The 25,130-nt window shown below is 42.3% G+C and overlaps 1 protein-coding gene across 4 annotated transcripts in view, besides 2 other annotated features; it reads right to left on the bottom strand.

Annotated features, from left to right (window-relative positions):
* Positions 1 to 25,130, bottom strand: part of SHISA9 (shisa family member 9) — a 661,420-nt gene that overhangs the window by 161,112 nt on the left and 475,178 nt on the right. The window lies entirely within an intron of this gene.
* Positions 11,195 to 11,244: an enhancer, noted in NCBI's record as "active region_10482". NCBI's record gives its function as "activates an Ori minimal core promoter by ATAC-STARR-seq in GM12878 lymphoblastoid cells {active_cell/tissue: GM12878}" and the evidence as "EXISTENCE:reporter gene assay evidence [ECO:0000049][PMID:35858748]".
* Positions 11,655 to 11,714: an enhancer, noted in NCBI's record as "active region_10481". NCBI's record gives its function as "activates an Ori minimal core promoter by ATAC-STARR-seq in GM12878 lymphoblastoid cells {active_cell/tissue: GM12878}" and the evidence as "EXISTENCE:reporter gene assay evidence [ECO:0000049][PMID:35858748]".

Here is a 25,130-nt window from a genome sequence, read left to right as displayed (position 1 = left end):
GGCTCTCTTGCCTGCCACCTTTGCTTCTCCTGGCCCTCTGCCATGATTATGAGGCCTCCCCAGCCATGCGGGACGGTGAGTCCATTAAACCTCTTTTTCTTTATATATTACCCAGTCTCAGGCATTTCTCCATAGCAGTATGAAAACATACTAATACACCTGACTAATATATAGAGGCTGGGAATTCCAAGATCCAGATGCCAGACAATTTGGTCACTGGTAAGGTCCCTCTTCCTGTCTTGTAGATGGCCTCCCTCTAGCTAAGTCCTCATACGGGGGGAATAGAAAGCTGTAGTGTCTCTTTCTCTTCTTATAAGGGCACCAACCCTAAAGGATTAGGGCCCCATGCTTATGACTTGTTTAATCTTTATCACTTCCTCACAGACCATATGTTCAAATACAGTCCCACTGGGGGGTTAGGCCTTCACTATGCAAACACTGGGGGAACACAGACATTTAGCCCATAGCAGGGTCTTTCTAGAGAATGAAAGTAATATGCGTGGGCCTTGCTCAGCCTCAGTTCTATCATAGTGGGAAGGGCGTGGCTCTGGAGTCAGACTGGCAGTTTAAATCCTGGCTCCTCCAGTGTGCCTGGATGTGTGGCTTCAGGGAAGTTCCTTAGCTTATCTGTGCCTTGGCTTTCTCATCTGTAAAAATAAGGCTGAATAACTGTACCTAACTGAAAAGGTTGTCACAAAAATCAAAGAAGTGAATGGAGGTAAAGAGCTTTGAAGAGTTTCTGGCACATAGGCACTCAACAAATTCTATTTAATCCTTGGGAGATTCTGTGGGATGGTCATCTCACTCTCACAACTTATAGCACTTTCCCAAGGTGGGATCAGAGTCTGTGGGTGGGCTTGGAAAAATGCATTCCAGCACACTCCCTAAGGGCCCAGGATGCATGCTTAAGCTGGAGAATCACCAGCTCACCTGCTAGGAGAGGTTGTTTAGATTTGTCTGGAGCAATTTCATTCATAATGCCAGGGTTCACCCATGCTTTCTTTATTTGGTTCTCAAAGTTTCTTTCTTCCATGGAGTTGAAAGAAGTTAGTGTCCATAAGGAAGAAGCTTCCTCCCTGCTCTGTGCAGCTGACATTTAGGGCCTCCTAAGCTGTGTCCTGCAGCACCTGGCTTATTGGGGGTCAATGTGATCCAACAACTGGTTGTCCGCATAAACTAGAAGCAGACAGACTGATTTGTTCAGACATGGAGTCAGGGTTATTGGAATGAATCATCCACTTGTCCTCTGATCGAGACAACATTGTGGGGACCCTGGCAGCAACTGTCTTCCTGATTTGATATGATGTCACTGGGAAGGTAAGGGGAGCTGTGGCTGAAGCCCTCCTGTTAGACATGGTGGGCATTGTCTGGACGTGGCTTACAGGATGACACTTGGTCTTCTGCAAAAAACAGTGATTTTATGGTAAGACGATTTGGCCTTGAAAGAAACCTTTGGGAAGCAGACCCAGAGGTAAAGATTCAGATGCAAAGAGTTTACTTGCTAAGTAGTTCTAGGAAATATGTGTGTGTGTGTGTGTGTGTTGGAACAGAGGGAAGAGAGACAGGGAAGAGAATAAAGTAAATTAGCAGGGTGCTATCAAGAAAGTTACTAATGCCAGTAGCTGGGCCTTCATTTTCTGGGTCACACTGGGAGCCTGTCTAGAACGCATGCCTCAGAATGGTTCTACCGGAGAGGCAAGAGAAATGGGACATTTATTCCCCAGTTTCCTGTCCACTGTGGGTTGAAGGTTGCTCTAGGAAGCATTTAATCTCCAGTATTTCTAACCTGCTTCACGTGAGGGCCAACAATGTTTCCATGGACTGTAAAAGTAATAAGTACTCACAGTTAAAGCTTTTACTTGTAGAGATGAGTTCTGAGATGGATAGGCAGGGTACTGAGAGCACCTGATACGCTTGAAAGCATTGGCAAAATGGCAACCCCTGTGCTAGGCACCTTCCAGGTGTAAACATCATAACAGCCAAAATGGACTGAGCATTTACTGTTCCCACTACAAGTATCTTCTACATTCATGCTACTCAGAATGTGGTCCATGGGACAGCAAAATTGCATCACCTGGAAGCTTATGAGAAATGCAGATTCTCAGGACCCACTCCAGACCTACTGAATCAGAAACTGAATTGTAACCAGATCCCCAGGCAAGTCAGATACACGCAGGCACCCTTCTCATTTCTGTGCTGGAAGACCATAGCCACATTTAGCTGGCCTGGGATAAGCAGCGGTGAAGAAGCAGGAGCTTCCTGTGCCCAATGAAATGCAAGAAAGCCACGGACCCATGGAAAGAACAGAAAGCAATAGTGCCAGGAGCAATGTGGCAGCATGGCTAGAAGGGGTGACGAGAACATGAGTGGACCGGTCTTGAAGCACAGGAGAAGCATCCCTGGGGACTCACAAAAATAACTGAGAGAGATCTTGGGGGACAGTAAGTTCATGTAGTTCTGTGGTAGAACAAAGAACCACTACAATTTAAGTGTTGTGTTAATTTGGCTCCATTTGTGGTTAAATCAGGTAAAACCTTGGCCATTTATTTAGCTTGAATATATGGTTTGTTTCAGGACTAAACTGTGAACACTTAGAAGGAAGGACCCAGGTCTTACATAATTTTGTCTTTCTAGCTTCTTTTTTTTTTTTAATTGAGATGGGGTCTCACTCTATCATTCAGGCTGGAGTGCAGTGGTGTGACCTCAGCCCACTGCATCTGCCTCCTGGGTTTAAGTCATCCTCCCACCTCAGTGTCCCAAGTAGCTGGGACCACAGGTACGCACCACCAAGCCTGGCTAATTTTTTGTATTTTTGGTGGACACAGGGTTTCAAGATATTGCCAGGCTGGTCCCAAACTCCTGAGCTCAGGCATTCCCCTGCCTCAGCCTCCTAAAGTGTTGAGATTACAGGTGTGAACCACCACGCCCTATCTGTATTTCTAGGTTCTAATGCGTATAACTGGCACTCAATTGATATTTGCTGAATGACCCAATGAACTCCATTCATTAATTCATTCATGATTCATTTAACAAATAATTGATGATTGTTTTAGTCCAGGTACTGTGTTAGAGTTGAGTTAAGATTGGTGAATAAGGCCGGGAGTGGTGGCTTACACCTGTAATCCTAGCATTTTGGGAGGCAAAGGCGTGTGGATCACCTGAGGTCAGGAGTTCAAGACCAGCCTGGCCAATGTGGTGAAACTCTGTCTCTACTAAAAATACAAAAAATTAGCCGGACGTGGTGGCAGGTGCTTGTAATTCCAGCTACTCAGGAGGCTAAGGCAGGAGAATCGCTCGAACCGGAGGTGGGGTGGGGGGCGGAGGTTGCAGTGAGCCAAGATCATGCCACTTCACTCTAGCCTGGGCTAAAGAGCAAGAATCTGTGTCAAAAAAAAAAAAAAAATGGTGAATAAACCACATTGGTAGCTACCCTTGTGAAGCATGAGATCAAGTGGAAGACGAATAAGTAAATAAACAAATTCCTATATACAGCTGACCCTTGAACAACATCGGGGGTTAGGAGTATCAACTCCCTGTGCAGTCAAAATTGGCTCCCCAAAAACTTAAAAACTAACAGCTTACTGATACAGAAGGGGGACCGGGAAGTGCTGGGAAGGGAAGGGTGTGGTCCTTGGCCAGGGCTCCACCCCCGGGTTTGTGCCCACAGACAAGGTGAGGATGGGTATTTCTGTTTTCCTGCCCAAATGTTGCATTTCCCAAGAACACCCTGGGCCACCACGCCCCCATCCTGTGAATATAAAAACCCAAGACCCTAGTAGGCAGAGACACAAGCGGCTGGACTAGTCTAGGGGAACACATCTGCAAAAGAGCACACCGACAGATGCCACAGCAGGTCATCGACTGTCGGATCCTCCTGGAGTTTGGCCAGGGCAGTCAGAGGAGCACATGGGCTGCTAAGAGGCCTGACTCCAGGGAAAAACCACCTTCCCACTCCATCTCCCTTCTGGCTCCCCGCTCTGCTGAGAGCTACTTCCACTCAATTAAACCTTGCACTCATTCTCCAAGCCTATATGTCCTCCCATTCTTCCGGTACACCAAGGCAAGAAACCCTGGGATACAGAAAGCCCTCTGTCTTTGTGATAAAGCAGGGGTCTAATTGAGCTGGTTAACACAATCTGCCTGTGGATGGCTAAACTAGAAGAGCACACTGTGGCCGGGCACAGTGGCTCATGCCTGTAATCCCAGCACTTTGGGAGGCCAAGGTGGGCAGATCATGAGTTCAAGAGATCAAGACCATCCTGGCCAACATGGTGAAACCTCGTCTCTACTAAAAAACACAAAAATTAGCCAGGTGTGGTGGCGTGCACCTGTAATTCCAGTTACTCAGGAGGCTGAGGCAGGAGAATCGCTTGAACCCAGGAGGTGAAGATTGCAGTAAGCCAAGATTGCACTACTGTACTGCACCCCAGCGGGGCGGGCAGCAGAGCGAGACTCTGCCTAAAAACAAACTAACAAACAAACAAACAAACCAAAAACACTGTAACACATGCCCACTTGGGCTTCAGGAGCTGTAAACATTCACACCTAGACACTGTGGGTCACAGCCCCACAGCGGACCTGTCTGCATGCTCCCCCTAGGGGTTTCAGCAGCAGGGCACCAAAGAAGCGAGCCACACCCCCATTACAAGCCCTGCCAGGGGGATAAGGGAACTTTTCCCATTTCACTACTATTAATTAGCAGACTTACTGATTACGTAGACAGTCGATTAACACATATGTTTTATGTTATATGCATTATATACTGTATTCTTACAGTTAATTTAAGCTGGAGAAAATAAAATGTTATTAGGAAAATCATAAGGAAGAGTAAATACATTTACTGTTTAATAAGTGGAAGTGGATCATCATAAAGGTCTTCGTCCTCATTGTCTTCATGTTGAGGAGTATAAGCAGGAGGAGGAGGAGTTGGTCTCACTGTCTCAGGGGTGGCAGGGGTGGAAGAAAATCCACATATATGTGGATCTGTGCAGTTTAAACTCATGCTGTTCAAGGGTCAGCTGTAATTGCAAATTATGAAAAGTAGTATAAATGGTGTGCAGTGATGGGGACTCATGGGGAGGGAGGGTGCCCCCAGACACCCTTTCAGGAAAGACTCCTTGAGGACTGATGTTTACATCAAGAAGTGAAGAATGAGAAGGATGGAGTCACAAGAAAGGGAAGAGCCTTTCAAACAAGCATCCCAGTACGTGCAAAAGCCCTGAAGCAAGAATTCATGGTGTGCTTACATGATTAATAAGGAATACAATCCACATGCCAGATTTCTGCTCACTGAACAACCACTCTATTTAGGCAACAGAAACCTGAAAGAGGATTTGGGTCTAGTCTGTCTGAGAGAAACCAGGTTATGCCATGAGCCCTTAATATTGATTTCTGGTTGAGGGTCGGGGAGTTGGCTAGTGGAGGACACTGTCTCACCATGGCATAATCTCAGTTCACTGCAACCTCCACCTCCTGAGTTCAAGTGATTCTCGTGCCTCAGCCTCCTCAGTAGCTGGAATTACAAGTGCACACCACCCTGCCCAGTTAATTTGTGTATTTTTAGTAGAGATGGGGTTTCGCCATGTTGGCCAGGCTGGTCTCAAACTCCTGACCTCAAGTGATCCGCCGGCCTCGGCCTCCCAAAATGCTGGGATTACAGGCGTGAGCCATTGCATCCGGCCGATTGATTTAGTTTGTGTTTCTATTAAGAGGAGACTCATCCATTTGGAAGATTCAGGTACTGTAGAGTTTGAGATTCTATGCAATGTTAGTATCTGAGGCCTCAACATAAAATCACATCTTATAAACGCTTCTAATTCATTACATCTTCCCCCTCTCTTGATCACAGAAGATGAAAAGTATGAGTCATACGACTTAGAATGTGTCATAGTGTTACATTTCAGGGCCGTGTTTCAAATAAAAAGAGATTAATTTTTTTTCTGAATATAATGAAAAAGATCTAGCTCTGCTCCTACCTTTGAAGTGACCCTGAACACGTTACCTAAACTCCCCAAACCTGGTTCTTCCTCTTTGAAACAGCTGTAGTGATACCCACTCTGCACAGATCACATGGCGTTTATGAGAACTGGTTCCATTTAGTTCAATAAGTGCATATCAAGCACCTAAAAGTCAAGCACTCATTTGACAAATATTTATCGACTCCCTCGCTACAATGTTCCAAGAACTGTCTTAGGTTCTGGAGGCACAACAATAAGCAAGACAGAAACAGCCCACCTTGCAAGAGCTTATGGTCTACCAGGAAAGACAGAACATTAAAGTATAATAGACATACATTTAAAAGCTAAATGAGATGATATAAGAAATAGCAATGCCATTTATGTGTGTAGACCTAGTTAAGTTCCATTGCCAGCCTGGCATCTCTGCATGTCAAGCCATTCAGTCTCAGACACTATTAGGGCTCAGTCCCTTAATGTCGGACTTTGCAGAAAGGAAACCTCAATTTCAGCCATATGAGACCTTGAGCAGAGGACTTATGCTGTGCATAGACTCTTGCCCTATGGGCTATCATGAGATAATAAGTTGGTGCTGTTTTAAGTCATTAGATTGGCAACCTTTCTTTGGTCTACCCCAGTTTCTGTTGAGCACTGTATAGTCCAAGTCTGCACGGTTCCTGAAGTTCATTTGAGCTGTTGTTTCCATGACATGTGGCAACAGGCATTCTTGATACCCAAGAGCCCAGAAATTGGGACTCAGCTCCTCGAAGGTGCACCAGCCCTCCAAATTCTTATGGCGAGCACAGGTCTGCATATTCATGAAACCTGCCAACCTCTGTCCACACTCATTCTGGAGGAACATTTCATAGCCAGACTGCAAAGCCACATTCTTCCTCATCATTCCCCTTCTGGGATTTCACTAGAATTTCTTAGGATTTCATAAGATAAACCAACCCCCTACACATGCACACACACAAACAGCCACACACACACACACACACACACACACACACACACACACACCCCAGATACTGCTTTTGCTTTAAAATGACAGTGGCAGAGGAAGGGAGGGGCCCTATGGACTCCTTGGGATTCGTTTGTGTGCAAGTGAGGGGCAGAGTATAAAAAGCAAAGCATTGCTGCCTCTCATTCGTCCTGATTCTTCTACAGCAATTAAATACAAATAAATATCTCAATATATTTCCCCCACCATATTAGCAGTGACACAATACTGTCCTAAGTGCTATGGTGTGGAAGAACACGGCACAAAGAGAGTACATTGCAGGGCCATTAGTGTTTCCTACTGTGCCTTAAGGAAGATTTACTGGTAGAAGTGACACTTAGACCGAGAGCTAGAGAGTGAGAACGAGAAAGCCAAGTCAAAGGATCCTGAGTAGGGCAGGGATGGAGGAAGAGAATGTGTTATTGGCTCAAAGCTGAGAGAGAACATAGAACATCTGAACTGAGTGTAGAATGGACAAAGAAGAGGGTGGGGGGTAGGAGATAAGACTGAGCAAATAGAAAGGTCCAGACCAGAAAAGGACATGAAAGCCCACCTAAAGAAATCACATTATTTCTTCATCAGTCAGCTTTGGCAGCAATAATTCTGCATAGCAAAGACCTCTCAAACTCACTGGCCTCTGTAAACAAGGACATTAACGCTGCTTATGGGTTTGTAGAGGGGCTGTATCTCTTCTGGGTTTAGCTGGAATCTGCTAGGTTTGAATCCAGGCTGGGCATTGGGACTGTCTCCTCATTCTCTCTGGACTAGTTTCTACGTGGGGTGTGTTTTTCTCATGGCAGATGGTAGAAATGCAAGAAGGTGAGTGGAAATGCGTAATGCTTCTTACAGCCTCAGCTGGGAACTGGCACATTGACAATCCCATTCAAGTTCCATCCGCCAAGGCAAGTCACATGGCTAACCCAGTGTCAATGGGGTGGGAAGGTCACGTTGCCCACAGTGGGACGTGACGTAGAGCACCGTGGCAAAGAGTGTGAGTGCATATTTCTAATTCAGGGAAAGAGGAAAGAATGGGAACAATGACCCAACTTGTCAGAGCATCCCAGGAATAATAGAAACCTATGCCAGGATTTCAAGGGGAGCTGTGAATAAAATGATCAGATTAGCAAAACACCATGCCAGTATGACACAGAGACAGCCAGCCACCTTCAAGCCTTCAAGGGTCCTAAGCAGTGTATCACTCCCTCCAGACTCTCAGTTACTCATGGTCATCAGAGTCCCAGAGCTGTACTACCTAAGCCAAGGCTCACACAGTCTTTTATAAACTTCTCCTCCATTCTCTAGCCAACGTCCCTGATAGGACTAACAACCTAATGAGCATAAGAGTCCTGTTGGCTTTGGGTTATTCAATTTAGATGGCTGACACAGTGCCCGTCTGCCATTCCCTCCTGCCCCAAATCCCTACAAATAACAGAAACAATAGTATTAAAAAGGAAACTTCTACAAAAATATCACTGAAAGCAAGAAGGGGGTGACATCAGTGGATCAGACACAATAAGAAATTCAGACAAAGTAGATGGGATCTGATCGAAAGAGGGAAAGTTGGTGAGACATTTGGGGAAAGGAATGGCCACACAATTTTGGGGGGCCCAGTGCAAAGTGAAAATGCTGGGCTCTTGTTCAAAAATTAAGAATTTCAAGATGGCAACACCAGAGAATTAAAATAGGAGTGGGCCCTGTGTGACTGCACAGGTCACACACCCGTGGAGCTGGCCCTGCTTGGGGTATTTCAATCCCCCAACAGTGGATACAGTGAGCACGAGGGTATCAGGAGCAAACATCTGTGTGATCAGTTTGAAGCAGGTTTGGAATGGGGCCAGCTGATTGGTTCAGGGCACACCTTCCCCCAGGCCTGAAAGCCTCCATTTGGTTCCCATCAGTGGGCAGAATTTGTTCTCCCATCCTGGGGCGTTGTATTAGTTTCCAAGGGCTGCTGTAACAAGGTACCACGACCTGTTTCGCTTAAAAGCCAGACATTTATCATCTCACAGCTCTGGAGGGCCAAAATCAAGGTGTCAACAAAATTGGTTTCTTCTAAGGCTGTGAGTAAGAGAATCCCTTCCAGGCCTCTGCCTTAGCTTCTCGTGCTTTGCAGGCAGTCTTTGGTGCTCCTTGGTTTATATTAATAGAAGCAGATGGTCTCTGCCTTTATCTTCACACAGTGTTCTCCGTGTGTGCATATTTCTGTGTACAAATTTCCCCATTTTATATGACACCAGTCATATCGCAGCCTCCACAGCAAATCGGTTTTATTTCTTTAACCTCTTAACGCAGTGGGTGTTGGGACTTTAGAGACCTAAGACCTATGCTTTGGAGTACATCATTGTGAGCCTAGGTTAATCAGAGGGACTGTTTGACCTCTAAGTGATCTGTAATGCCGCCACCTGCTGATTCCATGCTGTAGTCCCTGGGCTGTAAAATGGAGCCCCAACTGAATTCAGTAAAAGGTCTACATCCTTCAGTAGGTGAATCAATAAACTGTGGTACATCCAGACAATGAAACATGTTTTCTTTTTTAAATGTATATATTTAAGGTGTACAATATAATGTTTTAATATACATGTACATAATGGAATGCTTTCCACTTTTACCATGAAAAATAGATTGTTATCTAGAACTAAAAAGAAGGGAGCTGTCAAGTCATCACACTCCAGTAGGGCCTTATCTTAACTAATCACAGCTCCAAAGAGTCTATTTCCAAAACAATCACATTCTAAGGCACTGGGAGTTAAGACTTCAACATAAGAATATTAGGAAGACACAACTAATCCATAACAGGTGTATTTAGGATGTTCGAGGTACCTTTACTCCCAGGGGTGAAGATACCTTTCCTCCCAGGAAAAAACCAGGTAGGAAAGCTGCCCTGCTGCACACCTCAGCTGGCAACACGTTGTTCCTCACCTCCACAATCACTGGCAGCAGATGGCTATAAACAGATACCAGCAAACCGGGACCATCAGACACTCGGGGCAAACCAAATGTCTGAGAATGAGGTAGTCACTTTTGAAGAATATCATTTGATTAAATCTGCATCATTCCAAACAGATGGACTTTTCATAGTCCTCTGACAGTCCCTGAATTGCCACCGTTATTACCCAACAGGTACAGTCATTTATTGAGCTACTTTACCTGCAGTCAGGTTACAGAGTTCAAAAACTTTGTTGCTTGGCTCCCAGGGTTATCCAAGATCAGAGGTCTGCAACCTTAGCTGCACAATGGAGTCACCTGGGGGCCTCCAAAAATATTGATTCCTGGATTCCACCCTTTAATTGATCTAGGGTGGAACCTGGACACTGAGATGTTTTTTAAGCTCTCAGGTGATCACAGTGCACTGCTAAGGTCTAGAACCACTGGCTTGGAACTCCCCCCGAACCCAGCCATCTGTGTAACTGTAATAATGCATATTGACTGCAGATGGCACGGCATAGATTCGTTGGGGACTGATTTTTGTTTGCTGCTTCCAAGTATAATACTTCAGTATCTCTTCTCTCTAACTCTGTAACACCAAGTGCCTTGTTTTCCCTTTCTTTAGCCTTTTTTCAGTTGTGAAGGAGCTAAATCTCTGCTGTACAGAGCTACAGTTTTGCTTACAAAGGCAAGACCTCAGATGGAAACTGAGGCCTACAGCAGCACAGTGAATTATACCAAGACTAAGTTAAGCAGATAATAGACTTATATTTAGTACAATTTAATGTAAGGAGCAATAATGTGGGCTATAGCATCTTTTTTCCAAGGGTTCATGTTGATCTCACTTACTCTATTCAGCAGGACACACTGCTTTATGGTTTCAGTGAATGTCACTCTATCTCTTGCCTTCTCTTCCTCTTACTGTCACTCTTATCAACTCTTTTCTACCCTCTCTTTAATTCTCATCCTCTTTCTCCACTCCTGTTCTCTCTCATGTTGTCTCCCCTTTTCTTTACTCTTTTCTCCTCAATATTCTTGCTTTCACAGATTGCCATGGTTGGAATGGAGATTCAGCAGCCAAAGTGTTACGAAAATCAAGATATGCCACATGCATACCCTGCAGTTGCCTGAGATATCTCAGACTGCCTCTTGTGAAAGATATGAGAAGACACACACAGCCAAGAGAAGTCACCTAAGTATTTCTTTTCATCAGCCCATGAAATCTTCTTTCTCCCAAAGCCTTTCTTTCCATTTTGTGGTGTCACCCAGCGTGCTGATCTCAGAAACTACCTGGAAAAGTGCTACACAAATGTGGGGAATCATAATAGTGAATGACTGTAACATGCTTGTTACAAGCCACATACCCTTCTAAGCATGTTGACAGATGAGACTGAAGAAAGAGGCAGGAGGTGATTTCAAGCCTAAGCTTGAAATCTTAAACGTGCTCTTAAACGTGACTTAGTGTTGAAAGCACTTCAGAAAAGGGCAGCAGCAGAGTGAGAAAGATCACAGGCGGAATAACAGAGAGACTGAAAGCAAAAAGCAGAGAGACAAAGTATAGAAACACAGAGGGACAAAGACAGCCAGCCACCCAGATGCAGAGAACCAGTGAGACAGAACTGGACCACAACACAACTGAGCCGAGATAGACAGGCCCAACAAACACACTTCATGTTGGATTGCAACTGGGTAAAACAATTGCATGTCTGAGGCCTAATTTAGATCAGAGATTAGATGAAATGCAGGTTTGGTTCTGGCGTGACTTAAGAATCTTCTGATGTCATGGTTCACTGGTTTTAGAAAATGCATGCTTGCTTCTGGTGCACCTGGTATCTTATAAAAAGAGAGAGAGAAAAAATCCCTTTTGGTTTTTGGCTCAGTTACAGAAAAAAAAAAAAAGGTTAGAAAAAACCCACATAGTATTTAAGTTCTATGTACTTCACACTTCAGCAAACCAAGGCAAAGCATTCTGATTTTCTTTTCAAGTCGTATATTTTGCACTTGTCAGTTGGGATCTTCAAAGACTCCTTTAAGCCAGGTGCCTAACCCAGTATTGTCCTTAGAAGTAAGTGGAAAAAAGAATGGAGAATGGAGAGCATTTCCAGGATTAGATCTTGCAAGAGCACCCATCCTACGCAAGAGTGCCAACCCTTTAGGGGCAGAAGGAATTCCTCAGTGATTATAGCCAGTGGAGATATTGCATTGTGATTTTCCAGGACAATCGCAGCCTCCACAGCAAATCAGTTTTATTTCTTTAACCTCTTAATGCAGTGGGTTTTGGGACTTTAGAGACCTAAGACCTATCCTTTGGAGTACATCATTGTGAGCCTAGGTTAATCAGAGGACCTGTTTGAGTTCCAAGTGATCTGGAATGCTGCCACCTGCTGATTCCATGCTATGATCCCTGGGCTGTAAAATGGAGCCCTAATTTAATTCAATAAAATATCTATATCCTTCAGTAGGTGAATCAATAAACTGTGGTACATCCAGACAATGAAATGTTTTCTTTTTTAAATGTATATATTTAAGATGTACAGCATAATATTTTGATACACATGTACATAGTGAACTGCTTTCCACTTTTACCATGAACAATAGATTACTATCTAGAACTAAAAAGAAATGAGTTATCAAGCCATAAAGAGACACGGCCCTTAAATGCATATGGCTAAGTGAAAGAAGCCAATCTGAAAAGGCTACACTCTGTATGATCCCAACTCAATGACAATTCTGGGAAAGGTAAAACTACAGAGAGGGTAAACAGCTCAGGGGTTGCCAGAGGATAGCAGGAGGGAGGGATGAATAAGTGGAGGACAGAGGATTTTTAGGGCAGTGAAGCTACTCTGTATGATACTATCATGGTAAATACACATCATTATACATTGGTCCAAACCCTCAGAATGTACAACACCAAAAGTGAACCCTGGACTTGGAATGCAGGGATGTGTCAATGTAGGTTCATCAATTGTAGCAGACGTGCCGCTCTGGTGGGGGATGTTAATGACAGGGGAGGCTATGCGTGTATAGGACAGAGGGTATATGGGAACTCTATACCTTCTACTCAGTTTTGCTCTGAGCCCCTAACTACTCCAAAAAATAATGTCTATAAAATTTTTTACAAAGGTTCTCTGTATTAAAGACTTGATCATCTCATTTGGAAGAATGCTACTAGACGTGGAAATTTCCTCCCCTCCACCTCTTTTCCATCTCCTCTAGAATGAGGTCCTTTCTTTTGTTCACATGAGGTTTTCCCTTCCATCTAAAACCATTGAGGATAGAACATCTACGATGTGCCAGATTTTTCAATTTTACAGACAAAAGAGACTTAGGCTCAGAAAGGCTACCAATAAGCCCTGAAAGCCAGAGAGTTAGCATATGATAGAACCAGGATTTTCAAACAAAAGACTGTCCAAATTCTGCTGGCCAGGCACAGTGGCTCATGTCTGTAATCCCAGCACTTTGGGAGGCCGAGATGGGTGGATCACTTGAGGTCAAGGTAGCCCGGCCAACATGGTGAAAACCTGTCTCTACTAAAAATACAAAAATTAGCTGGGCATGGTGGTGGATGCCTGTAGTCCCAGCTACTCAGGAAGCTGAGGCAGGAGAATTGCTTGAACTTGGGAGGTGGAGGTTGCAGTGAGCCGAGATTGAGCCACTGCACTCCAGCCCAGGCAACAGAGTGAGACTCTGTCTTAAAAAAAAAAAAAAAAAAATTCCCCAAATTCTGGGATTTCCCACTGCACTATTTCCCCCTTCTGAGAGTTTGCTAGAGGCATGAAAATCATTCCCATTCACGTTTCTATAGAATCCTATTTGACTCTTGGGATTGATCCTTCCTTTTTCTTCTGTTCCACATCTCAATCCACAGGATGAATAAGTGGAAGCCACCAGAACCTGGATTTCAACCTGCAGGAATTACCTTGTAGGATATAGAGCTCCCAGGATGGAATGGGCTGTCTCAGGTACTACTGACCTCCCCATGAGCATGGAAATACCAAGGCTTGTAGAAGAGGCTTCACGGCTCTCAGTATTCTAACACTGTCAGTGAAATTTCGTAGTGTGGAGATCCAGGAGATACATGTCTTTTTTTTTTCTAGGAGGGGATTTTCACCCTCCAAGAAAATTTCATAATTGAGTTTCACTCCAATGGTGGAGAACTACTGAGACTAAGGGTGTAACGGACCATAGTTAGCGAGTCATTTTCATCAGTGAAAATGCACCATAAAGAATAATGCAGGCCAGGTGTGGTGGCTCACGCCTGTAATCCCAGCACTTTGGGAGGCCGAGGCGGGCAGATCACCAGGTCAGGAGATCAAGACCATCCTGGCCAACATGGTGAAACATTGTCTCTACTAAAAATACAAAAATTAGCCAGGCGTGGTGGCACGTGCCTGTAATCCCAGCTACTTGGGAGTCTGAGACAGGAGAATCGTTTGAACCCAGGAGGCGAGGGTTGCAGTGAGCTGAGATGGCACCACTGCTCTCCAGCCTGGTGGCAGAGTGAGAGATTCCGTCTCAAGAAAAAAAAAAAAAAATCCTCTAGGGGAGGAAGCTTCCTTGTTCCTTTCAGCTTCCAGTAGCTGTAGGCATCACTCGGCTTGCAGCAACATGAATCCAGTCACTGCCCCCATTTTCATATGATGTTCTCCCTGTCTGTCTCTGAGTCCAAATTTCCCTCTTCTGATAAGAACACAAGTTATATTGGATGTCAGGTCCACCCTACTCTAGTATGACTTCATCTTAAATTGAATTCTGTTTACAACAATTCTATTTCCAAATGAGGTCACATTTGGAGGTACTAGGAATTAGGGCTCCAACATACATTTTTTGGGATACCACAGTTCAACCCATAACAAAGTAAGTCATGGTGCTGGTTGCAAATTCTATGTAAATGTACAGAAATGGATGAATTTTATAATATGTGAATTACACATCAATGATTTATTTTAAGTGGCAAGAAGATTCCTTAAATTATTGCTGGAGGGGAAGGCACAGAATCGTTTATAGATAGCACTGACTCTCAACATATCATCTGAAAGTGTTAAAGCCGTATTCAGTCAATTAGCTATTCTATTTCTCATATGTAGCCCAGAGAGACACGCATATGAATTTAGATAGTAAAACATTAGAAACAAACTAGATATCCATCAGTAGGGAAATGGTAAATAAATTTAAATATAACCATACCATGGAATACTATGCAGCAATTACAAAGTAATTAAACATTACAATAACAATTAAAATGAGACAGTTTGATATTTACTGACATGGAAAGGAATCTAAAACATATTGCTGCAGAAAGGAAAAAGCAAATAACAGACTGATATAGAAGCATAACATCGTTTGTATAAAACAAACAACAATCCACATCAAAGAAAATCATGCTACACGTTTTCAAAGATACGTGTATAATAAAAATAATATCGAGAATTTAGTACGTGCCAGACACACTTCTAAGAAACTGATATGTATTAATTTATTAGATTCTTGGAACAAGCTAAGTACTATTATTGGATCCTGTTTTATGAAGAGGAAGCTAGGCAGAGAAATTAAGTTACTCCCTCAAGGCTACTGAGTGGTGGAATCAGAATTTGAATCCAGACTTGTCTGAATTCAAAGGGCCATTTCTTCTCCCAGCATAGAACTCGCATTAAAGTAAGTGGACACTTCCAGGGTGAGGTGGAGGAGATCCTATGACTACAGATGGAAACCATTGGGATTTCAGCTTTTAATTTTTAACATCTGTAAGAAATAATACAGAAAGATCCTGTGCTCCCTTTATCCAGTTTCTCCTAATGATAACATTATGCAAAATTATAGTATAATATCATAATCAGGATATTGACATTAATATAATCTACTGATCTTCAGATTTCCCATTTTACTTGTACTCATTTGTGTGTGTCTATTTAGCTCTATGCACTTTTATTATGTGTAGGTTCATATATCCATGGGCACCGTCACAGTACAGAAGGGTTTCATTGCCACAGGATTCCTTATGGTGTCCTTTCTTACTCACACACACTTCCCTCTTGCCCTGTCCCTATCCTTAATCCCTAGCCACCACTCATCTAATTTTGTCATTTCAAGGATATTAGTGGAGTCATATTGTATGTGGCATTTTTGGATTGCCTTTTTTCACTCAGCATAATTCCTTTGAGATTCATCCAAGTTGTTATGTGTACCAGTAGTTTGTTCCTTTTCATTGCTGAGTAGTATTTCATGGTATGGATATACCACAGTTTGTTCCTTTTCTTTGCTGAGTACTATTTCATGGTATGGATATACCACAGTTTGTTCCTTTTCTTTGCTGAGTACTATTTCATGGTATGGATATACCACAGTTTGTTCCTTTTCTTTGCTGAGTACTATTTCATGGTATGGATATACCACAGTTTGTTCCTTTTCTTTGCTGAGTACTATTTCATGGTATGGCTATACCACAGTTTGTTCCTTTTCTTTGCTGAGTACTATTTCATGGTATGGATATACCACAGTTTGTTCCTTTTCTTTGCTGAGTACTATTTCATGGTATGGATATACCACAGTTTGTTCCTTTTCTTTGCTGAGTACTATTTCATGGTATGGATATACCACAGTTTGTTTAAGCATTTCCCCCTTGAAGGGCATCTAGATTGCTTCCGTTTGGGGCTACTATGAATAAAGCTGCTATAAGCATTCCTGTAAAGATTTTTGTGTGAATGTCCATTTCAATTTCTCTGGCAGATATGCCCAAGAATACAATTGCTGATTCTTGCAGGTTTAATTTTCTGTAAAAAACACCAAACTGTTTTCCAGAGTGGCTGTACCATTTTACATTCCCATCTGAAACTTATGAATTTATTAATGTCTGCATCCTTGCTAACATTTGGTGTTGCCACTACTTTTTATTTTAACGATTCTGATAGGCATGTAGTGATATCGCATTGTTATTTTAATTCACATTTCTCATCTTTACCTGTGCTTCTTTTTCATGCATATCTTCTTTGGTAAACTGTCTCTTCCTGTCTTTTGCTCATTTTCTGATTGAATTGTTTGCTTGTTTTTACTTTTGAGTTTGGAGCATTCTTTATGGATTACAGATACTACTTCTTTACCAGATAGTGGTTTTCAAATATTTTCTCCCAGTTTGGAGCTGGTCTTTGCATCCTCTTAATGGGGTCCTTCACAGAGAAGACATTTTTAATTTGGATGGATTTACCCTCAAACTTTTTATAAAAAGAATGAATTCATGCCAAATGTATTTAAATATTAATTTAAAAATCAAATCTTTGTGTTTGTGTCTAGCAGATCATGGCTGTTTGGGAAAAGGTTGGAATTGAACTTCTCTTCATTTTCCTTCACGGAAGAAAACGCTCTTGCCAGACATAACCTATGGACTTCTTGTCCTTAAAGCTTCAAGGTTGCTGTCTCCCCACCCTGAAAGATGTTTGCTGTAGCCTGAGGTCCAGAGTACCATTGCTTCCTGGCTCTTGGTAGAGAAAAATGGATACCATTGCTCTTCTTATATCCACAGTGGTATTGGAAACCTACCATAGCCAGATTCTCATGCCATATGCTGAATACTTCTACTTATTCCAATAACCATGGCCCCTGAAGTCCTCAAGGTAACAAAAGTTAAGACAGGGATCACCTGGCCAGAGAGAAGAGTTACCACAGCTATTTTATAAGATGCAAAATGGAGATTATTTCCTAGCATCTCACCACCCAACATTAACTGCCAACCTGACCATGGGGAATGGAGTGGAGAAACCATATCAGGAGAGCTTGAAATCTGCATTCATTGTCCTGGGTGGCCTCTAATCCCATGTAGTTCCTATCCTGAATTTTTCGAAACTTATTATTTGCCTATGAACAGAGAAGAATGAAATTTGCTAGACATTTCAATGCCTCTTGCCAAACTAAAAAAATCCTAAATGTATAAACCAGTTGAAAGGAGGCATAGTTTCTTCCTCTCTCCTAACGTTAACCATTTTTTCAAATAGGTATGTTCTAAAAAATAGCAAACACCTGCACCCTGTAAAAAAATCAAAGTCAAAATATTACATTTAAAGTATTAGGTTGGTGTTGGCCGGGCACGGTGGCTCACGTCTGTAATCCTAGCACTTTGGGAGGCCGAGGCAGGTGGATAACTTGAGCTCAGGAGTTTGAGACCAGCCTGGGAAACATGATAAATCCCCATCTCTACCTCTACCAACACACAAAAATCAGCCAGGCATAGTGGCTCGCGCCTATGGTCCCAGCTACTCGGAGCCCAAGGTGGGAAGATCGCTTGAGCCTGGGAGGTGGAGGTTGCAGTGAGCTGAGATCATGCCACTGCACTCCAGCCTGGGTGACAGAGCAAGACTCTGTCTCAAAATAAATAAATAAATAAATATTAGGTTGGTGCAAACATAATTGTGGCTGGTGCAATTACATTTGCACCAACTTAATATGCTCCTCTCAATGCCCTTTCCAGGTCCAATATTCAAAGGACATCACTATTGCCAGTTTCTTGTTCATCTTTTCGGAGATGTTCTACCTATGCACGCATATAAGCACTCATTTGTCTTTCTCTGTCTCTACCTTTCTCTCTCCATAAATGGCAGAATACTATTCTTCCCCCATATTTTTATTAAGGATATATGTTCAAGATCATTCCATATCAGATCTGCCTCATTCTTTTTTAAGTATCTGCATATTATTATCTTGTATTTTACACACACTCCTGCCTTGAGCCTTTGGCTCTTGCTGCTTCCTCTTCATGGAATGCAGCTTTCTCCATTCCCACGTCCTCCAGATCTTTGCTCCAGTCTTCCCTGATGAGAAAGGCCATCCTTAACCACTCTCGTAAAATAGCTGCCATCTCCCACCACCTTCTTTCTACTTTTAATTCATTTTTTTCTGTAGCATTTTGTATCGCTTGACCTATTTGTTTATTTATTGTTTCTCTCCACCCATGAGAATGTAAGTTCCATGAGGGTGATGACTTAGTTTTGTTTATTGCTTTATTTCCAAAGCCTAGAATAGTGCCTGACACGCAACGAACACTTAGTGACTGCTGATTGAAGAAGTTACATGGAGGTATCAATGACATGTGATCAGTAACATATTGCTTGATTCTTTTTCTTATCAAAAAAAGTGTTATAACAATTTTTTAAATTTACTTTGTTTGTTTGTTTGTTTTAAGACAGAGTCTCGCTCTATCACCCAGGCTGGAGTGCAGTGGCATGATCTCGGCTCACTGCAGCTTCTGCCTCCTGGGTTCAAGCAATTCTCCTGCCTCAGCCTCCCGAGTAGCTGGGATTACAGGCGCCTGCCACAACACCCGGCTAATTTTTTATTTTTGATACAGACAGGGTTTCACCATGTTGGTCAAGCTTGTCTCAAACTCCTGACCTCAAGTGATCCACTTGCCTCAGCCTCCCAAAGTCCTGGGATTACAGGTGGGATTACAGACGAAAGCCACCACGCCTGTTTTTTTTCTTTTCTTTCTTTTTTTTTTTTTTTTTTTGAGATGGAGTTTCACCCTTTTCATCCAGGCTTGAGTGCAGTGGCGCGATCTCGGCTCACTGCAACCTCCGCTTCCTGAGTTCAAGAAATTCTCCCCTGACCCAGGCTCCCAAGTGGCTGGGATTACAGGCATGCGTCACCACACCCAGCTATTTTTTGTATTTTTAGTAGAGACGGGGTTTTGCCATGTTGGCCAGGCTGGTCTCGAACTCCTGTCCTCAAGTGATCCACCCTCCTCAGCCTCCCAAAGTGCTGGGATTACAGGCATGAGCCACTGTGCCCAGTCATAATAAATATTCTTACTGCAATATATCTCTGTTTACACATGAGAAAATATCTGTAGGATAAATTCTTCATTGTAGAAATGCTAAATGAAAGCGTATTTTGACAAACAGTGTTAATTTTTACTCAGAGAGTTTGTATCAATACACTTCCAAAATTTAAAATACTGTTTACCCATACCGTCCCTGATTATATTATCAAACTTTAAAATTTTTTCAACCTAATGTGTTTAACATATCACATTTTAAGTATAATTCATATTTTTCTAATTTTGACTCAGATTGAGCATTTTTTCACTTGCATTTGTGTCTGGGAACACTCTCTTCATGTCATTTACCTATTTTAAAATTCATTTTTATTAACAAAATAATACACATAATTAGTTCTAAAGATTTTTAAATTATATTACAAATCTTCTGACAAAAAGCAACCTCCCATGTTCCCAACCTTCCCAAGTCCTGCTCCAGGCACAATAAAAATTTTACAACTTCTTGCTATTTCTTCTATACACTTAGTTAGGTTTATAGATAATATATTCATATGACTGCATATATTTCTTAATTTAGAAATTAGGTTTTTTTACAGTAAATGAGAATTTAGCGCTAAAAAAGGAAAAGCAGCAGGAATAGCACCACCAACACCACTTTGCTCCCCAACCCGTCCAATAAATTTACATCTCAAATATAGTTAAATGAACATTCCATGTTTACAATATAACTTGTTCATTAAATGACTCAGTACATTTAAGTGCACTATTGAGTCAAGGTGTATATTTTGACTATCTTTTCTTAGTTCTATAACTTTATGCTTTTCCTGGAGTTGAGAGTTGCCTCATTTTGAAATCTGTTTAGTTTCCTATGGATAAATTACTTCAGAGTCTCCACAGAACACTAGAAACCCTTTTAACACTTTTTCCCACAGACAAATACATTTGTTATTCTACTGGTTATTAGTTCCACTGCTTTGCTAGGAACCCTTTATTTCTATCTCTAATCTCTCCATCTTCCTTCTCTAATCTGGTTAGTTGCCCTCTAGGCCTACTTCCCAGCTGTCATCTAGGGGCTTCTCTTCAAAATGATTTCTGATTATTATCTTTGCCTCTTCTCTCTGCTTGAATCCCCTCTTTAGAAAACTTATTATTTCTATAGCAAAGACTTGGAACCAACCCAAATGTCCATCAATGATAGACTGCATTAAGAAAATGTGGCACATATACACCATGGAATACTATGCAGCCATAAAAAAGGATGAGTTCATGTCCTTTGCAGGGGCATGGATGAAGCTGGAAACCATCATTCTCAGCAAACTATCACAAGATCAGAAAACCAAACACTACATGTTCTCACTCATGCGGGAGTTGAACAATGAGAACACATGGACACAGGGAGGGGAACATCACACATGGAGGCCTGCTGGGGGGTGGGGGGCTAGGGGAGGGATAACATTAGGAGAAATACCTAATGAAAGTGAAGGGTTGATGGGTGCAGCAAACAACCAGGGCACATGTATACCTATGTAACAAAACTGTACATTCTGCAAATGTAACCCAGAACTTAAAGTATAATAATAATAATAAAATGCCAAGTTTTAAAAAAGAAAAGTTATTATTTCTGTCTTTTAGTTTACTCCTTCATTTTGGTGTAATAAATTGTGCAACAGCTTTCTGAAAACTTGCAAATTTGAAGAAAAAATCTAGGCTCCCCTTTATACTTGATCGATAGTTTGAATGAGGATAGAATTCTAATCTGGAAATTATTAGTAGTCAGAATTTTTAACTCACTGTTATAGTGTCTTCTAGTTTCTAACATTACTGTGGAAAAATCCAATGTCATACTGATTTCCAATGCTTTGTACATGATCTGCTGTTTCTCTCTTTTAAAGCATTGAAACATTTTCTCTTTCCCCCCTTCTTTTAAAATGTGATGATGATACATCCTGATTTGACTGCTTTTTTCACTTTTTTGTTCTCAGCACTGGGTTAGAAAGGACATCTTTTGATACGAAAAATAATATTTTTCAAACCCGGAATTTTTTCTTTTATTTTTTCTTTGATAATTTTCTTTCCTCTGTAATCCCTCTTCTATTTTTTTTTGAGGATTCTGAAAATACTGGACATCTTGAACTGATGCTCAAATTAAACATATGTATGTATCTCTGTGTTCTGTATCTTCGTCTTTCGGTTCTACTTCCTCTGAGATGTTCTTAATTTTATCTTCCAACTCTTATGCTTATTTAATTCTTTAAAATAATTGTTATCTTTTTAGTTATAAAAGGCCCTTCATACACTCTCAAAATTTCTTTATTTATGGTATCCTGTGTCATGGGTGTTTCATTAACTATACTATAATGTAATATTAGCTGTAATGATATATTAGCTATAATGATAGCTAATATTAATTAAGGCGGTATTTTAAGAATTTGACAGAATTAGCTCCTTTAATCCCCAGAACCACATAAATTGAAGGAAGGGAGTGGCTCCTCAAAAGAAAAGAAAGGCATTTGATAACAGAAGAAGAGGAAAGGAACGAGAGATAGCCGAAAATGACAAATGCCCACCGCGGAGGAATTCGAAATACCATGTGCCTACCAGGATTCAGGCACTATTGTTAGGCACAGGGACTGGAAACAGGGAGAAGGGAATAAGACATTACCCCGGTTGTGTTCACATTTAAAAAAATATAGTTGGCAGCTAATGTCATTTGCCACTTGTCAGCCCCTGATGAATTCCTCCTCCAGTGCCTAGAAGCAGCCAGAAGCTGTGCAGGAAAGGCAGGCTGGAGCAGGAGGAGGGAAGTGGCGGGGGGACCTGGGAGTTGCTCCTTCTTCGTGAAAAGCTCTGATGGGAAAATTGTCAGCTGTACTCCCACTCCCTCCAAAAGTCAGTATGATGCTGCATCCATCTTAATCACCATCAGAGAGAGCAAGCATTTTAATATGCAGCATTATTCATGAAAACTTTGTTCTCCTTTCCCACTTCCTTCCAAAATAAGATGAATGTGAACTTGGAGTGAACTCCTCATTTGTCTCCTTCTTGCCTCTTTTTCATATTCAAACTCACTATCTTCTCACCATGGCCCACATCCTCTGGACATCCTCTGGGATACAGGTGAGTTAAGCAGCTTTCCAGCTGGGAAGTGGGAGAGTAAGGATGGAGGTATCTTGAGTCCCTAGAGGGTAGGGCTTACTGGATCTACCACTGGGAATTGAGTGATGAAGGAGATGAGGTTCCTTGAGTGGTGAAACTTAAAGCTCACCCATTCATCTATTTTCTTATTTAACAACATCGTTGGTTACTTACTGTGTATTTTGCTGAAAACACACAAAGAGTTAATCAGATATAATTTCCATCCCCAGAGGAACTGAATGCTGATTCACTCAACAAATATTTTTGAGCTATGGAGCAACCCCCAAACTAGGTAATTAGAATGCATATGATCCTTGTGATTTATCACCTTGTTATTGAACACTCATTCATGTACAATATTGATCGGTTATTGGGCACTCATAGGTTTCATACATTGTGCTAGACACTGCACTTATAGAGACACATTAAATAGCCCAAACCCTTGTGCTGCTCAGCACCTAGAAGAGGAGAAAGATAGGAAAAGAATTAATCTATAGAGAACCTCATATATTATGACAGGTGCATGAATAACAGTCTGTCTCTCGATTTCTCTATATGATTCAGGAGAGTTGACTCCACTCTAGGCACATGAACAAGGGCTGGTCAAGTAGACCACGGCATCTTCCTGGACACAGTGGCTATTTCAGAGATGGACACAAGACGCAGGCAGGGTTTATAACACAACCCAGAAACTTTCCTGAAACTATTTGGCAGTGGGCAGGCACTCTAGTAATGCCAGGGCTGCTTGGAATGTACAGTCATCCTGCCACCACATGGAGAGAGCTTGCCTAAGAATAAAACCAACACACAGTAAAACAGAGCCAAGAAAGGGAAACAGAGCAAGTTTGTATGACATTATGTGAGTACCTGGAACAAGTCATACCTGAGGTAGCCATATTGGAGCAATCCCTGAACCATTCAAGTATGTGGGTCATTAACTTCTTCTCTTGACCTCAACTAGTTTGAGTTCTATCCCTAAGTAACATAAATCCCAAGACATCATCTATCCTAGCTCTGCAGGCTTCACAGTCAGCAGGGTGACAGATGTCAGGGCTCTCCAGTTGGCATAAATATTTTTGTTGGTGGTGTTGTTTAGATGGAGTCTTGCTCTGTTGCCCAGGCTGGAGTGCAGTGGCACAATCTCAGCTCACTGCCACCTCCGCCTTCCAGGTTCAAGCGATTCTCCCACCTCAGCCTCCCAGGTAGCTGGGACTACAGGTGCGTGCCACCACGACTGGCTAATTTTTTTTTTGTATTTTTAGTAGAGACGGGGTTTCACCATGTTGGACAGGCTGGTCTCGAACTCCTGACCTCAAGTGATCCGCCCACCTTGGCCTCCCAAAATGCTGGGATTACAGGCATGAGCCACTGCACCCGGCCTTGCATAAATGCTATTGGTTTTATTTTTCATAGAGAAAGGATATTCCCAAGAGGGAACATTATTGAGCTATATACTGAGTAGAATCTTCTTTTTCACATTCAATGAGACCCAACAGACTTGGAGAATATATTTGTGCCAAGAGAACCACGTATGTGTTTGTACATTTTATTAGCATATTAAAGGTGATCGGGATCAAAATCCATGGGTGGCATAGGTATCAGGTGTCCTAGCTTTGCTCTCTGCTCAGCATGGCCTAGCAGTCCAGGTAACAGAGGCATATTGGGACAATCCTCTTTGCTCTCCCTCCCTCCAAGCTAATGAGTCATGAGGAACAAATACGATGTTTGAAATGTAAATGAATGATTGGCATCTGGAAACATGATAAAAAAGAACTGGGATTTACCAGCACCTGGGCAGCTCATCCTTGAGTACACGGCTGCTCTGAATACTCAGCTTGCTCCATAAAGGGATCAGCCCATAGCTTTCTTTCCTGTGAAGCCTGAGCAACAGCACATGAATGCCGCCCCTAAGGCTGCTATTGTGGTCCATGATGGAATAAGAGCCTCATTCTCTGACCATCCAAGGCAAGCTCTTGGGGCTCACCCATTTCTCCACCACTGGTATGCAGTGTGCCCTCGTTGGGTGGTGAGATGCTGTAACCCTTCCCGCAATTCTTCCTCCTGAGAGGATGGAAGCAGCATTAAAGGTTTTTTTCTCATTAACTTTCCTTTAGGGAATCTGTCTTTTTTGATACAAATACCCTATCATGGTCAGGCATGATGGATTATGCCTGTAATGCCAGCATTTTGGGATGCCAAGGCGGGTGGATCACTTGAGTGCAGGAGTTCGAAACCAGCCTGGGCAACACATCTCTACAAGAAATACAAAAATTAGCTGGGCATAGTGGTGTGCACCTGTAGTCTCAGCTACTCAGGAGGCTGAGGTGGGAGGATCGCCCAAGAGGTCAAG

The sequence above is a fragment of the Homo sapiens genome, chromosome 16, assembly GCF_000001405.40.
Source record: "Homo sapiens chromosome 16, GRCh38.p14 Primary Assembly".
Classification (NCBI taxonomy): Eukaryota; Metazoa; Chordata; class Mammalia; order Primates; family Hominidae; genus Homo; species Homo sapiens.
The sequence above is the reverse complement of the archived record's forward strand: the minus strand, read 5'-3'. Positions and strand labels throughout refer to the sequence as shown.